The sequence below is a fragment of the Homo sapiens genome, chromosome 5, assembly GCF_000001405.40.
Source record: "Homo sapiens chromosome 5, GRCh38.p14 Primary Assembly".
NCBI lineage: Eukaryota > Metazoa > Chordata > Mammalia > Primates > Hominidae > Homo > Homo sapiens.
This window is the reverse complement of record NC_000005.10, coordinates 64,369,384-64,386,795: the sequence shown is the minus strand read 5'-3', so window position 1 is coordinate 64,386,795 and position 17,412 is coordinate 64,369,384. Positions and strand designations below refer to the sequence as shown.

The 17,412-nt window shown below is 35.5% G+C and overlaps 1 protein-coding gene across 8 annotated transcripts in view; it reads right to left on the bottom strand.

Annotated features, from left to right (window-relative positions):
- Positions 1-13,926: 13,926 nt before the first annotated feature.
- Positions 13,927-17,412, bottom strand: part of RNF180 (ring finger protein 180) — a 207,519-nt gene continuing 204,033 nt past the window's right edge. For all 8 annotated transcript variants that reach the window (XM_047417118.1, XM_047417120.1, XM_017009388.2 and 5 more), the window contains exon 8: positions 13,927-17,181. In XM_047417118.1, coding sequence (XP_047273074.1) covers positions 16,982-17,181 — 200 coding nt within the window. In that variant the 3' untranslated portion in view covers positions 13,927-16,981. The remainder of the gene's footprint in view (positions 17,182-17,412) is intronic.

Below are 17,412 nucleotides of genomic sequence, written 5' to 3'. Positions count from 1 at the left end.
AGTGTTTCTATGGTATATATTTTTTATCCTTTAACTTTTAACTGAACCATGTCATTATATATTTGAAGTTAGTTACTTATAGACTGTGTATAGTTGGTTCATGTGTTTAAAAAAGATCCATTCCACAATTTCTGTCTTGCCTTTTGTAGGTTGAATTTGCCTCTAATTATTTCAATGTTTGGAGTATTTCTAAAATTTTAGTATTTTTTTGTTTATTCTCTTTGTTTTCCATTCCTTTGTTTTACTTTTCCTGCCTTCTTTGGGGTTATTTCAATATTTTTAGTGTCCAGCTTTAATGTATAGTGTTTTTATATTTTTTTAAGTAGTTGCTCCAGGGCTTCCTATATGTGTATTTAACTTTTCACAGACTATTTAGAATCAATATTCTTGTTACTTAAAGTGGAATACAGAAACTTTCCCAATATGTAGTACTATGTATTCTCTCCTCTTTATGTTGTAGTGTTCTTATACATTACATGTAGTTACATCGTAAATCTCATCACAAGGTATTATAATTTTTCTTTCAACTGTTTAAACATATTTTAGACAACTTAAAAGAAATATAGTTTCCTATTTACCCAGATATTTTCCATTTCTATTGCTTTTTCTTCATTTATGATTTTCCAAATTTATTTTCTGGTCTCATTTCCCTTTTGTCTGAAGAAGTTGCTTCAGAATTTCTTTGAAAGCATGACTGCTGACAATTAATTATCTTAGTTTTTCCTTATCTGAGAATGCCTCCATTCCTGAAGAATATTTTTGCTGGACATGGAGTTCTTGGTGGACAGTTCTTTTCTTTCAGCTCTTTAAATCTCTTGTTCCGCTCCTTTTTAAACTCCAGGATTTCTGATGAAAATTTTTAGTCTTTAAAATTATTTTTCCTTTATGTATACAGCATTGTTTTTCTCTGGTTGTCTTTTATTTTCAGCAGTTTGATTTTGATGTGCCTAGGACTAATTTCTTTGGATTTCTCCTTTTTGGGTTTGCTGTGCTTTTAAATCTATATGTTTGTCTGTCATCAAATTTGCAAAGTTTTCTGTCATTATTTCCTTAAGTTTTTTTTTTTTTAGCATCACCCTGTTTCTTCTGTATTTCTGAGACTGTTATAACACAAAATTAGACTTTTTGTTATAGTCTTATAGGTCCATGAGGCTCTGTTCAGTTATTTAAAAAAAATCATTTTTTCCTCTTTGTTCAGACTGATTCAGAACAAACATATTTGCTAGTTCACTGATTTTTTTTTCTGTTATTGACATTCTGCTATTGAATGTCTCCCTCTCTCCCACCCTCCTTCCCTCCTTGCCTCCCTTCCTTGCTATCCAATGAATTTTAAATTTTGATTATTTTATTTTCAGGTCAAACTTTTCTTTTGATTTTTTTTCATATTATCAATTTCAGTGCAAATATTTACTATTTTCTCATTGGTTTCAAGAATTCTTTTGATTGCTTGCTGGAGCATTTTTATAATGGCTGCTTTAAAATATTTGAAAAGTTCAACATCTGTGTTATTTTAACACTGGCATTCTTTGATTATCTTTTACCTGGTGCTTTGGCATTTTCCTAGTTATTTGCCAGGTAATTTCAGGTTACCCAGCAAAGAACGAGGTAATTCTAGTTACCTAGTAATTTATTACCCCAAATTACTAGGCTATGCTAGACATTTTGAATCTGATCTTATTTCATTTCTATGGAGACTGTTAAATAGTTTTGTTTTAAGCAGGCAGTCAACCTGCTTAGATTCAGGCCACTGGTTCCAACCCTCCTCTGTAGGCTGTGGTTTCAATGTCAGTTCCATTTTCAAAGTCTTTATAGTATGATTTATCTTTCCTGGATGTGTGCCACCCAGTGGTCAGTCTTGGACCTTGGCTATGGTCTGTCTGTTCAGTTTTCAGTCACCATTATGCTGAATAGGATAAGGTCCACACTTATGCAGCTCTTGGGTGAGCTTAGGAGTTCATAAATGACTTTGTGGGTTTGCTTTCCTGAGCTTTCACCTCTCCACCATCTCCCTCAAACTTTCTGGTTCCTCAAGACTCCTCTTTTTAGTTGTTCAGCCAGAAAGCCAACACTTTAGTTACCACACATTGCCATATACTTCTTCAAGTACCCCACATCAAGGATCAAGTGGTAGTGGGGAAGGGGAACTAAGGGAGAAAAAGGCAATGAGGAGTTTTCATACACTCTTTGAACGACAGCTCCTCTCTTTTAGAGTTTTGGCTCTTGCAGTCTCCTGTTGCCTCTGCCTGTTGACACCACCATTGTATTGCTTGGGGGCTTGATGTGGTGGAAAGAAGCAGTCTTTCTGAGCTTTTGTAGTTCTTTTTCTCTGCTTGCAGCCAGAGCTAGTGGGCTTCTCTTGGAGCTCTCTCTGCCTACATGTTTCTGCCCACTTCTGGTATGTTAAAGTTAGGCTGAGAGTTACTGGAGGAAAAAAAATTAGTAAACTCACTGTCAGTTCAGCGACATTACAAATTCTGTTCTTTTTCCAGAATCCAACTGCAGCAGTTTACTACTCAAAATCTCCCATATATCTGTTCCATCTGTTCTGTTCAGGTTTTATTGATGTATTCATTAGGATATACAGGGTGGGGTGTGCTTATCTCTAACCCAGAATTGGAACCTCCTCCCTTAGATTGCAGATTGTGATTGTGTGACCATCTTTGGTCAACCTAAAGCATTAGGCCATCCAAGTCTCTTTCTCTCTTGCTTGCTTTCATTCCTCCCTCTCTTTCTCCTTCTTTCTCTCCCTCCCTCTCTCCCTCCCTCCCTCTCTTCCTGTCTCCTTCCCTCCCTCCATTTTTCCTTTCCTCCTTGCCTCCCTTCCTTCTAGAATCTGGTTGCTTTCGGTCTTTTACATAAACTGGTAGAGGGAAAATAGAAAAGTACATATGGCTTTGTTTCTTTCTTCTCTCCTATTGCAAAACCATTTTATTTCTTTTCATTGTTGGCATCTTTCCATTGGCCAAGTCTTCTCCTTGCCATCTCTGTCATCATTACTGATTGCCCTGATTGCCATGTCATCACTGCTAGCAGATCTGCTCATGGTCAGTCATATGTGCTTCTCATTCACTCCCCACCCCCTGCCCCAGTCTTTTTTGTATTTTCTGATTATTCCTTTTCTCATACTTCTCTGCTTTTATGCAAAATCCCACATCCGTCCAGTTTTTCTATTCTACCAATGTACCAATTATAGTGAAAATCAGATGTATATTTTTTTCTTGGTCTCTGTGTTGTTTCTCTTTAATCAGAACCCATTGTAGTGTTTGTATATATATTTGTGGATACTATATTAGTTATTTGGAGACACATTGGAAGCCTGAGGCTTTGAGTAATTTGATTTTTGGTATTTCTTTAAGATTAAAACAAGTAGTGTGTTATACAGGGAACAATTTATGTACACTAATGAACATGTTTGTGATTGACATATATATGCTGCATACTGTTTCCAGATTAAATGACTTCCATGCTAACCTTTTCAAAGTACTTATTTATACATTATCCATTTTTGCTTTTCATCTTTTTTTTCTGTCTGAATGAAATACATGTCCTTTTCCTTCCATTGGTTTAAAGCCACTTAATTTCACTCTCTATTGTCACTCATACTTGATTCAGAATAGGGGAAAATAAGATAAATGTGTATATAACACTGATCATTACTACTCTTTGTTCCAGTAAAGATGATGATGAAGTTGTAAGGTATACAAAGGGATATTAAATACTTTCTTTTTAGAAGTCCTGAGTTTTTCATCTTAATGAAACAGACAATGTGAACTTATGTACTTTGCTTACCTGTTATTTCAATTACAGCAGTCTTTAGTCTTAGTAGAAAAAAATGAGAGGGTATATTGTAGCATTTATCAATAAACTATGATAAAAATTCTCTTCACAATAATTTAAAACCAGATGGTACCAAATTTATAATGAATTTATAATTGGTTAATTGCTTGATAAAATAATGGTCTTTCCTAATTATATCTCATCTCTGACAGTTTTAAGTTTATAATTTTTGGAAGTAAAACACATCATCCTTTAAGTCTTCCTGTCTTTTCTCAAAGATCTACATATCATAATTAGGGCAAAGGTACATTTCTATGGAGGCCATGTGTGCCTTTTCCTGTCATAGAAAGAAAAGGACACACCCAATTAGGGTCTAGATTGGAAGTAATAATTAACAGAACCATAAGTGCAGGTTTATGTGGTAGAAAGAATTGTGGTGGTGCTAGTTTCATTTACTTTCTCCTCTGCTTTTAGCCTTCTATTAGCCATAAGTAGAAATGGATGTGCTCACATACATATATACCAATTATCTCTGAAATCCATGACAATAGAAAGCAGATCAGTAGAAAACTTTGTTTCCAGCAGCAGTGTTAGCTTTTATTTGAATAATCAGATATCAGGTAGATTTCTGAACACTATTTTTAAATTAGAAGGAGTATATAAACTCCTAGGTCAAAAGAACTTCATTCTGAAATCTAACTTCATTCTGAAATCTTACTTCATTCTGAAATCTTACTTCATAAGAACTTCATTCTGAAATCCTCAGGATATGCGGCTGGCATTTAAGTGGGCTTTAGATCATGAAGAAAACTTCAATTGAGGATGATTTATAAGTGTGCATTCATTTATTCAATGAATATTTATTGAATATGTACTATTTTTGTTTGCTGAATGCAAAAATGAATTGGGGGCCTTGTAATTATGTGTTATTGCTGAGTTTTACTGGGTTCAGAAGTACTGTTTTATATGAAAGCTTTAGAGTAGATAGAAATATGATTAAGGAAATTAAAACCATAAAGGGAGCTAATTCCTTTATTTCATAAAGGAAAACTAAAGAGCATCAGCAAAGATAAAGAGAAGATAGCATGTATAAAAATAGGCTATTAGTTGGTTACACTATAATTTACAATCAGCTTTAATAATTTATTGATATTTGGAGGCTGAGGTGGAAGGATCCCTTGAGCCCAGGAGTTCAAGGGTGCAGGGAGCTATGATTGTGCCACTCTACTCCAGCCTGGGTGATGGAGTGAGACCTCATCTCTTAAAAAAATTTGATTTTTTGATATTAATTCTGAACAAGTAACTGAGACTGCCATGTGAGAGGGATCATGTATTAGGAGCTTTCTTTGACCCTCTCAGCTGGGCCTAGTTTTTCAGCCATCCCTACTAAGGTACCAGTTACATGAGTGAAGTTGTCTTGGACCCTCCAGATTAGTGTGTCTGTTAGCTGAATACCACCAGTTAACTTCCGTTGATTCCACCAGCTAACTTCTGTTGAAAGAGAAGAATCATCCAACTGAGCCCTGATTCTTTGACCCATAAAATTGTTAGATATAATAAAATGTTTTTTAAGCCATTAAATTTGGGGTGGTTTGTTACTCAGCAATAGATAATCAAACCACCTACACAGGACATCTAAACACTTTTATGGTACTGGAGAATAATCATTACAAGTTATGCTATAATTTTTAAATTATAGGTTGGTAATTTTGTATCAATAGGCCAAGGATAAAATTTAGTGAAAGGGCAGTTAGTTGAGCATAGCATATGTGATGGCTATGTGGTATGTTGTCTTGGCTAGGCTAAAAAAACAACATTCCTTTGAATTTCTTTTTCAGTAAGTTTCTGGATAAGTGATCTATAAGATACATTCCCTCAAGATCTGGAAGATAGAAGAGAGCACCAGCAGTTTTGTGATCTCCACACACCTTCTCCTAATTACTGAATCAAACACTAATTTAGCTGCTGCTGTGAAGAGATTTTGCGAGTATAATTAAGGTTCCTAATCAGTCAAGAAGATTATCCTGAGTGGGCCTCATTTAATCAGTTGAAAGTACTTAAAATATAATGTTGACCTCTCCTGGAAAAAGAGTTAAACCTGTGGACAATAGCTTCAGCCAGTGTCTGTGAGGCTTCAGCCTTCTTGTGATCTTCTCTGCCCTGTGGACTCCGGATTTGCCTATCCAGCCTCCGAAACTGTGTAAGCCAATTCCTTGTTATACGTATGTGTATATTCACACATATATGCATAGATAGATAGATATCTCCTACTGGTTCTGCTTGTCTGTTTGGACTCTGACACAGATTTTTGTATCAAAAGTGGATGCAGAGGCCTGTGCCTTAAGGATGAGGTGCCTTAAAGATCTTAAGGATGAGTTCTCTGAATTGGTTCTGATTTTCTGGAATTGTTTTTCTAATCTGATAAAACTTAAGGCACTAATAAGCCTGTTTCTAGTTGTTTAAAAGACATTGGTAGTCCATGGCATGATGTGGTGAAAGAGTTGCTCAAATTATCACCTTTGGATACTATAATTAAATACCTATAGAAGGTGAGATTCAAGATGTCTAAGCATGAATCACTTGAGAACATTTTAGTCAAAACAAGGAGTGGAATGGAGTTGTTTGGTTATTCCTAACTGCTCTAGAGAAAGTGACCATAGAAAAATGAACTTAGGGCTCTAAATTTCTAGCTAAATGTTCTGAAAACTTCTGCATTTTCCCTCAGAGAAACTCTATCCTGTAGCTGTAAGGCTGGGGTTTCTGAAAATGAAAGCCACAGTTTCCTCCTGTGAATGGCAAACTGAATTCCCAACCACTTCTGTTAAAGTTTAGCCAGTGATTGGGAAGGAATGGGCTTCTACAAATGGGAGTGGGGAAATATGGGTAGATTCTGATAAAGCTGGGGATCTTGGCTTCCCATATGAAATTGAATCTTTGCCCATAGAACCAGTCTTTTCAGTTCTGCCTGAGGAAGTGTAATGTGTCAACTTGACTAGGCCACATGGTGCCCAGATATTTGGTTTAATATTTTTCTGTTATATGAGGGCATTTTTGGATAATTAACATTTAAATCAGTAGACTGAGGAAAGCAGATTGCCTTCCATAATGTGGGTGGGCTACAATCCTCGGTTGAAGGCCTAAACAGAACAAAAGGCTGATGCTCCCATGAGAAGGATAATTTTCCTGCTTGACAGCCTTTGAACTGGGAAATCAACTGTTCCTGGTTCTACAACAGCCTGCCAGCCTCAGACTTTAACTGGGACATTGGCTCTTTTTTCTGGTTCTACAGCAGCTTCTGACCTTTGCACTAGAAATGGGACATCAGCTCTGCAGATTTTGGACTTGCCAGCTTCCAGAATTATGTTACCCATTTCCTTATAAATTATATATTTATAATATATATCATAAATATATACATTTAAACAATATAAATATTTATAAATCATAAATATATGTATATATTTTGTTTTTCTGGAGAACTCTGATTAATATGGGAGGATAGTCCTCCTTTACCTGAATAACCTGGAATGGCCTCCCCTGAGGATTGTTGATAAAAAGTGTCAAACTCTGTAAAATATTTTTAGAGATTTATTTTGAGCCAAATATGAGTGATCATGGTCTGTGGAGGTCCTGAGAACATGTGCTCAAGGTGGTCGGGGGTACAGCTTGGTTTTATGTATTTTAGGGAGGCATGATACATTTATCAAACACATTTAAGAAATACACTGGTTTGGTTCAGAAAGGGGGGACAATTCAAAGCAGGGGGCTTCCAGGCTATAGGTAAATTCAGACATTTTCTGGTTGACAATTGGTTGAGTTGATCTGAAGACCTGGGATCAGTAGAAAGGAAGTGTTCAGGTTAAGATAAAGGATTGTGGATATCAAATTTTATTGTGTGGAGGAAGCTCTCAGATAGCAGACTTCAGAGAGAACAGGTTGTAAAATGTTTCTTATCGGACCTAAAATGGTGCCTGGCTCTTAGTTGATTATCTCCTGGATCTGGAAAGGAAGGAAGGAAAACAAGGGGAAAGGGGATTCTTGATAGAATGTGGGTTTTTCCCACAAGGGATGGCTTCGCAGGACCATTTCAAGATATGGCAGAGAAACACGTTTTGGGGTAAAATATTTTGATTTTCTTCCTTGTTATGCCAGAGTCAGATTGGAAAGCAAGTCACAGTATACAGGGTTAAATAAAACCCATCTGATGAGAATTTATGGTTTGTAGGGCATGACTCCCCACACCCCTTAGATAGGAATTTGGGCAAGATAAAAAAAATGAGAGCTTAGTCCTCAGGAAGTTGCTTACAAGGTACTCCTGATGATCCACAGGACCTACTCCCCAACACCCCTTTTTGTTTCTATAACTAGAATCAACTTGAAGCAGCCCTCAAAAAATGAGGTACAATGTATGACTCATGAAAAGGTGTGATATACACCAAAAGAACTGCATGGCTTTTTTTTCAATTTATATAAATAGAAATCTAGGAGTTACGTGTGAGAATGGATATTGGTGTGTAATCAAGGTGTAAGGAATATAAAGTCATCAGGCTTAATTTGTAGGCTCACTATTCAGAGACTCAATGTTTTAGCTCAAGGAGTTAGGAAGGGCTTAATTAGATGGTTGGTTGGCTGGTTGCCAGGAACAAAATGGTGGCCTACACTAAATGAGGTAGAAATGCCTTGTGATATTATAGAGGAAGGTAGCTAAAGGCTTGAGATTGCAATGTTTGAGTGTATTTATCATGCAAGATTGCTCTCCAGTCCTGGAAAAACATGCCTTTCACCACAACTGTGAAAAATAAATTTGTGAGGGAGCATCAGCATCCTTGAAAAGCTCTGTAGTCTCTCTTCTCTGTAGGTCAGAAATTATAAAGTAAACTGCTACCATTGAATGAGGATACCTAAATGCAATAGAGATAATAGATCCTGGGATGTTAAGGGTCAAGTGGTGACACTTAATTGCCAAAGATAAGATAGGCAGGGTTACCATAATGGATAGCAGAGTTAAAATAGTAACCAGAGGCCGGGCTCAGTGGCTCATGCCTGTAATCCCAGCATTTTGAGAGGCTGAGGCAGGAGAATCACTTGAACTCAGGGGGCGGACTTTGCAGTGAGCTGAGATCATGCCACTGCACTCCAGCCTGAGCGACAGAGTGAGGCTTTGTCTCCGGAAAAAAAAAAAAAAAAAAAAAAGTAACCAGAATAGTTTGACTCAAAGAGATTAAGCTGTTGGTTCTCATGATGATCAAAATTCTCATGATGTCCCAAGAGTGGAAATAGACGGTTAACCTATTAAATTCCTTTTTGATCTGTAAAAGCAGAGGAGTTCTGGGTCTAGTAAACAGAAGTCTGGCTTGAATTTCCAAAACATAGAGTTAATTCCTTCATTTCCAAATTTGAGTCAGTTAACAGACTCAGAACCCCTTGAGAAAGAAACCCACTCCACTGTCAAAAATTTATACTGTTGACTTTTCTTTCAGTATTTCCCCAAAGGGACTTACGGCTCTTTACCAGGTTGACTGTGCACTGGGGAAAGGAAATTCTGGGGAAGGGAGTTTAGCCTAGCCAGGCTGACACATCACAAAGCCATCACAGACCACCCCTTGTCAACTTGGTACCCATACATATTTCCTTTAAACATACTGCCTATATGATACAACTATCCCATATACAACTGCAAACATGCCAACCTTTTCCTCAAAAGAGGATACAAAATCCTCAGGTAATGTTCCTCTTCTCTTTTGAAATTTAAATACTAAGATTAACTACCATAAAAACATTTTGTGATGTAAAGTTAGCTATTATTAACACATCTTGTGTTAGATAAGAGGATAAGGGAGAGAAGAAAACAAAAATACTTAATATTATACAAACGTTCACATCAAGAGAAAACTTGTAACTAATGCAGTCTTCAACTGGTCATGTAGTTGTAGCTGGCATTTTTAACAGCCACCTTCTATCCATTCCATATTCTTTGCCCTCAGCAATCACCTTAGCTGGGATCAAACCCTTATTCTTGAAGGGTCTGGGCCATTATCAGTCCTGCCTGAATTGTTTTTTTGTAATTTTCTATTGATATGAATCACAGGATGTGAATATTAGGAAGCATGTTAGAAGATCTGTATTCCAGGCATACTTTTCCTTACCTCCATTGTGTAGTAGCAACCCAATCCCCTCTTGATGGGAGCAGTTACCTCAGCTATTACAGTAACCCCCTTATTTGTCTGTTCATTCAGAGGCATAAAAAATCCAGAGTGACCAGGTGGTAGTCTCAACTTTCAGTTTAGTGAAATCATTGTTCCTACAGTAGAAGCATTCCTCCCTCTGGAACTAGGACTTCTAAACCAGCACATTTTAAAGTTATGAGGACAGGAAGAATACATTTTGGTGGTGGATCCCTAGGAGTAGTAAAGAGGCCTCTCCTGTTTCCATGTCTTGATTCTTGGATGTGTGAATCCTGGTAATGGGAAAAATAGCACTGTATACTAGATGCTAATTTAGGCCACATACCACATTCTGGAGGACATTGCCCCAGCCCTGCAAAGTAACACCACCTGTTACCTTAGTTGGGTCTTCAAAGGCCTTTGTACAATTGTCAAACCAGCTGCTCTGGGATTATGGGGAAAATGAGGAGACCAGTAACTTCCATCAGTTGTGAAATGAGTTCTTGATTAAAATTGATATTGAGTGGGATACATGACAGTGGACAAAGCATTCTGTAGGTCTGTACTTGGTCATTTTAGCAGAAGAATCATAGGCACAGAAGAAAAAATCATATTCAGTGTAAAAGTTTATTCCTCTAAGAACAAAATGCTTTCCCTTCCATGAGAAAGCAGTCCAGTGCATAGTAAACCTGCCACCAGCCTGTTACCCCAGGAAATGATACCATATCAGGGACTTGTTGTTGATCCCTGCTGCTGACAGTTTAGGTCCTCAACAGTGTCTGTTATGGTGAGTAGAGATTCATGTTGCTGAGCCCATGCATAGCCTCCGTCCCTGCCACCACGGCCACTTTGTTCATGAGCCCATTGAACAAAGTGTTTTGGTAATAACTAGAGTAGCTGGGGAAAGAGGCTGACTGGTGTCTACAGAACAGGTCACTCTTTCCATTTTATTGTTAAAATTCTCCTCCACTGATATAACTCTCTAGTGAGAATTCATATTGACACAAATATTTCTGGGTGTCATTCTAGAAGAGGTCCATCCAAATTCCTCTTTCCCAAACCTCCTTGCCAACAAGTTTTCAAGTATGTTCCTTCTAAATCCCTGACCCTTCAGCCAAACCATCTGTCAGAGTCAATTCATTACAGACTGGTATCTCTGGCTATTTTATTCTCTTGGGAAAAATAACCAAGCAAGGGCACTGCTTGAAGTTCGCCCACTGGGAGGATTCTCCTTTACTATAGTCTTTCAGGGATGCCCGGAGTAAGGCTGCAGAGTTTCAGTTGTCCACTTTTGAGTGGTACTTGCATACAATGCAGAACCATTTGTTAACCAGACCTGAGGTTTTTTTTTCTTTTTTTTTTTTTCCCTTCCTCAGTCAACTTGTCTTAGGCAGGAAGACTTAGGTATGGATTGAAAGAGAGAAGGTAATGTAGGGGAAATAGGGACCATGGACATACTGGCAAATCCCTCATGTAACTTCCTTGTGCCTTAAGGGCCTCCTCAAGTCTGATCTCATATATACTGCCTCCCTTTGATAACAGAGTACAGCTGTTCACACTCAACATTATGTCTTGTCAGACAACACCCAGTTCATGATGGGAAGTTCAGGTAGCAGGGTAACTCAGTGGCCCATGATCAAGTGTTTGTCTTTACTAAGGCCCAGTAATAGGCCAAAAGCTGTTTCTCAAAAGGAGAGTAGTTATCCACAGAGGATGGTGTAGCTTTGCACCAAAATCCTAAAGGTCTGTGCTGTGATTTACCTAATGAAGCTTGCCAAAGGCGCCAAATATCAACCTCATCTATCACTGATACTTTAAGCACCATTGGATCTGCTAGATTATGTGACCCAATTGACAGAGCAGTTTGTATGGCAACATGAACGTATTGAAGAGCCTTCTTTTGTCTGGGCCATATTCTACACTGCCAGCTCTTTGCATCATCTGGCAAACGGGTCAGAATAGCCACCCCAATAAGGTGTATTTTACATCTAAAATCTAAAGAGGATCCCCTGGGCATTGTGCCTCTATTTTAGTGGTAGGAGGGTTAGATGCAGCACTTTATCTTTTACCCTGGAAGGGGTATCTTGACATTTTATAGATAGATCACTGGACCCCTAGAAGTTTCACTAAGGTAGAATTTTTGTTTTACTTTTTACTGTTAAAGAAAAACTAATTCAGGAATTGAACTTTGTAGGTGTATGCAGTGACAAGAATATAGCCTCAAGAACTAGTCAGACCTGGGTTTGGACTCCTAGCTGTACCACTGGTAGCTACAGGACTTTAAGAAAGCTAGTTAACCTCTTTGAGCTCCAATCTTCTTGTCTATAAAATGGACGTGGTAACAAAAGTATTTTAGGGTTGTTATATGAAATGAGATACTGTGTGCAAAACACTGTATAGTACCTGGCATATATTTAGCATTGAACAACTGTAGCTCCTCCTCCTTATATTATGAAGAATCACCATGAAAATATATGGATAATAGGTGTTTCAATTCACAATCTTCTTGTAAATTGAATTTTATTGCAGCAGAATTATGGGAAGGTTTGTGTTATGCACAAGGTGAGGAAATGAGGAAAGAAAGATGAAGTGAATTTTAGTCATATAACCCAGGATGACGATAAGGTCTCTTGATTTTGCAGTTATAATGTGTACTAAAATTTAGAAGTGAGCAGAAGTGCCAGAGTATATTTTGTTTTCTATTTCCAGATGTGGTATTATAAGTGACTATATATTATCTCACATTTGTTCTATATGAATAGAGTCTAGATAGAGATAGCCAAAGAAAGAATGGGTAATGAGAGAGAATAGGGAAAAAGTAGGAAAATCATTTTTTTTTGTTTAAAGAAAAGAAAAAGTTTGAATTACAGATTGTAAATAAAATACTTACATATTGATACCTAGACTTTAATATGTGCCAGATAATGTCAAAAACTTATTCAACAGATTTATATAAAATTACTTATAGCATAATTCATTATTCTTCCTTTATATTGGATAACCAGTATTGTGTAATTCTCAAATGCAAAAACAATGTGAAATTTGTCTTTTGGGGACAGTTAATGATAAGAAAGCAAGATTCATGGCCACCTTTTCAGATGTGCTTCCTTTAGTTTCTTGCTATCCCAGGTGTGGTCCATGGGGCAGCAGATCAGTATCACTGACTGCTTATTAGCAATGCAGAATCTCAGGTCTACCCTACACCTTCTGAATAAAAATATACATTTTACCAAGATTTAATGTAGGCATATGAAGGTTTAAAAGGCATTGCTGTTGACTTCTGATCTAGGTTGACTTCTGTACTATATTCCTGTCTGCCCGATTTACTTGCAATATTGGAATCAGAATAGCCAGTAGTGTCCATTTAGTTCTGTAGAATTTGCAAATCAGAACTCTACTTCATTTTTTGAACAACAGTTCACTTTTTTCTGAAATGAGAAAATTAAACTACACTGTAGCTATATCATTATGATTTAAAAATTGATGTAATTCACAATTAGGTCCTATTAAGCTTCTGTTTTAAGGCAAAATGACAAGTGTAAGACTGGAAAGTAGTTTATTATTAATTATATCATAGCTAAATTGGACTATATCATAGTATTATTAATTATAGTCAGGAAACTACATTTTGTTCCCCTCAACAAATGGCGATACCAGTTTCTAAAACATGAATGATTTTCTGCGCTCTTATCCAAGGATGGCAAATATCTGAGATGGCTAATTTTCCCTTAAGACCCTCCTTCCCCTCTATATAAGGGTCAATGCCAGTGGATCCAGAAAACTTTTTCCCCCTGGATCCTGGATGTAACCTCAGAATCCTTCTCAATAAAGCATTCTAGGCAGCCACCACAAATCAAAGTTGCCACGCAGAATAAAAGTTATGAAATGTAGCATTTCATATTAGTCTCCTGCAAATATTAAAGTTTTTCATTGTTATAAGCAATGAAAATTATCAAAAACAAAGTACAAGTATCATATTCCTGCATTCTTGATCCAGACCATCTTTTATTCCTCATGCTTCTACATTGGTAGAACTTTAATGTTCTTCGAAAATTTACTGACAATCAAACACTTCAAGAAGTAAGAGTTGAGCATGTTAAAGCATTCAAACCTTTAGGAACACTTTCCTAAATGACAGTGTTTTCTGGCTTCAACTACAGAATTCTGTGAAGAATCAAAGACTCCAACTGTAATTGCATTTAATCAGAGAATGCTCTTCTGTAAGGCATTCTTTGAGAAATCCATATAAAAATTAGATGTTTAAGAATCTGTATATTCATTTAGCCATACAAAAGACATTTAAATGAAAATTTTATTAACTGGAATTTTGTTATGCCACAGAGCTAACTTAGGAGCAAGATTCCAAGGCAGAAGTGAAACTGATGGCAGCACTGCTTTCATATTTAGCATATAATACTATAGTGGCATTAATAATTCAGCAGATACAGAAATTTTTTTTTCCATTCCTGATTTTGTTGATTCAGAGTGGTAGAAGCTTTGTAAAATATAAATTCTGATTCTTTTTCAACTTTGTCTAATTTAAATTTCCCTGTCTTCTGCTGAGTATAAAATAAATGGGTCTAGGTTTGTGAATTTGCTTTTTTAAAATTAAAAAATAACCTGCTGAAACTATTCAGAAATATACCTCAATTAGGGCATTTTTTTAAAAAAGAATGTGTGAACATGTTTAAAATTAACCTTTACCATAATTAAGCTTGGTAGAAATAGAAATTATTGATAATGATAACTCATAAAATTAAGCTTATTAAATAATATTACTTGGGACAAGTACTATGCTTCATTAACTTTAACATTTTTCTTCTTTTCCTTTCTTTGGCTCTTTATTGGACAGTGAGTTTTTACTGTGAGAGATGCTTAGGAAGAGCATTATAATTTTTTGTTTTACTCTAAAGCTCATCCATGTATTTTATTTTGAATGGCTACTGTGTGCTACATACCAGAAGAAACTGGTTTCTTTCCATCTGAGATTTTATCTGGCTTCTTATAAGCTGGTAGATCTAGGAAATGCTATACTTCTTAATATTTAGCAGTTTTTATCTCCACTTTTACAAAATTTAAGAATATTTTAAAGATTAGTAATTTATAATTTTATGAATTTACTTCTTTTAATATTCTATAATTTTCAGATCAAGTTATTAGTCAAGATAAATATACTCAATCCATTTTGAATGCTTTTCCAGATTATGCTTTCTTCATTTAAAGGTTCATGTTTATTTAAGGGTATCATAAATATTTAGTAGACTGAGATCTATAAACTGATATGTATCACTGACCTAACAAATATATATTGGGAATCAACTTTGTTCCTATGAGAGATCTGTATCTATAATAATACTTATTTAGTTTATACATAATTAAAACCTTTATTGTGATTTAGGAATGAATCAAGATATATTTTCTAGAGTGTATAAACCAGAAGTTGCCTAGGAAATGGCTGCAATTTAAAGTTCTTAAAATAATGCAACTCCTCATATGTGTGTTTTCAATCTTGCTATATATTTTAAGAGAGCTGATATTTTCCCTTATGTTTACTTTGAGCAATTAGTAATTATAAATATCCATTTATAAGTATAAATTTATCTGTGTTTCTAAATTGTACTTAGTGTTCTGATTTCTGGATTTGATGTCTAGTGTATACTATTTTCTGTAATAGATATAATTTAAAACACAATAATAAGAACAGCATTAGAATAGAAATCAGTACCATTCTTCTAGTTTTCTTAGAACATCACATACCAACAGTCAAGTGCTTTTATTGAAATACAGTTAGTAGCAATTAGCTTAAATTTTGGCTTTTCATAGATTGAAACTGTTAAAGCCCAGTTGATCCCAATGTTTTTGGATAGTGGTAGTATTTTTAGTGCCACGAGAGAGTCACCTATTTTATGTAAAAGTTTGCTTATTGAATTACCAGATATATGACATCATAGTGTAGTAATACTGGATTAGTAATTCATAATAAAAACTTTGTCCCAGGTTTCACAAAGACCACCAGAATAACTGAATAAATAAGCTTAAGTCTCTGCTCCAGTTTTTCCTTTTTTGAATTGGGTTACCTGCCCCAATTCCATGTTCTAATGATTCAGTTCTCTTATTTTTAAATTTTAATAATGAAAAAAATTAATGATTACTGTAATTAAAAATGTCAGGTTTTCTTTCTAAAATCGATAAGCCTATTTATAACAATACTTTATTCAGACATTAAAAAAATTAAAAGCCACTCTTTATTGCACATTTACAATATATTTGACCATCTCCTACTTAAATGAATCACTAAATTACATTTTGGACCATGCATTGCTCTTTTAGACTACTAAAAGTCGGTAAATTTTTCATGTCTTCTGGTGATTAATCCTTCAATCTGGAAAGTGTTTATAGCTAGCTAAAGTGTTTATTGGTAGGGATTAGTCTCATGATTTGTATTTAGTATTCTGTTTATAATAATTTAAAATGTTGTACTAATTAGATCTGTACAAAAAGAATAGTCAGTTTTCTTGGTACTAGAAAGGGATATAAGTAGTGACAATTAGAAACCAAAACTGAATATACCCTGCTAGATTAGTTCCCAGAGAATATGGTTTATCTTTAATACATATAATTTGCCTGAGAATAAGTGGTGATTGACTAAATATTTTATCAGTAAAGATAATATCTACCTAGATTATCATTTCTTTTTGTATTTTTACTATTTTTAAGTGGAGAGAAAACTTCAGTTTTTTACAATCAAAATAAGTATTAAAGTGATATTATAAAATCAGAGCCCCAAATCCTAACCCAAGAACAACTATGAAATTAATAGTGCATTGTTGCTAAGTGCTGGGTAGGTTAGCTCTTGAATAAAGTTTAGTTTGTTACATGAAAAACATTAATAAATAAATTCATTATTCTCAGGCTTTCTATAAACATCAACAATTTGTATAATGCAACATTAAAAAAACTTCAAAGCACATTTAAAAATGTTTAAGCAATTGTTATTTACATCATTTATGATTGGTCAATTGTAGTAAGGTATGAAATTCCTAAAACGGAAAGAAAAAATAGCAAAGAAAGCAGAAAACAATGAATCCAATGACCCAGTTCACTGAATAAATATATATGATCACCATATCCATGTCAAACCACCATCCACGGCTATCATCCTCAAAGTGCAGGTAATCCATCCTGTGTGCACCGTGTGGGAACTGCCTTCTTGTAACTGGAGCTGCATGTCTGCGGAAACCTAGAAGATGTATGAACATATTAAAGCCCATTAAATTCAAGCTAGTGCTCAGAAAAGAAGCTGTACACAAGTACAGTTAAACAAAGCATATCCTGATTTCACTGAGCGGAGTTATGTTGTATTCCTGACAGTTTTTTCTTTTTTTTTTATTATTATTATACTTTAAGTTTTAGGGTACATGTGCACAATGTGCAGGTTAGTTACATATGTATACATGTGCCATGCTAGTGT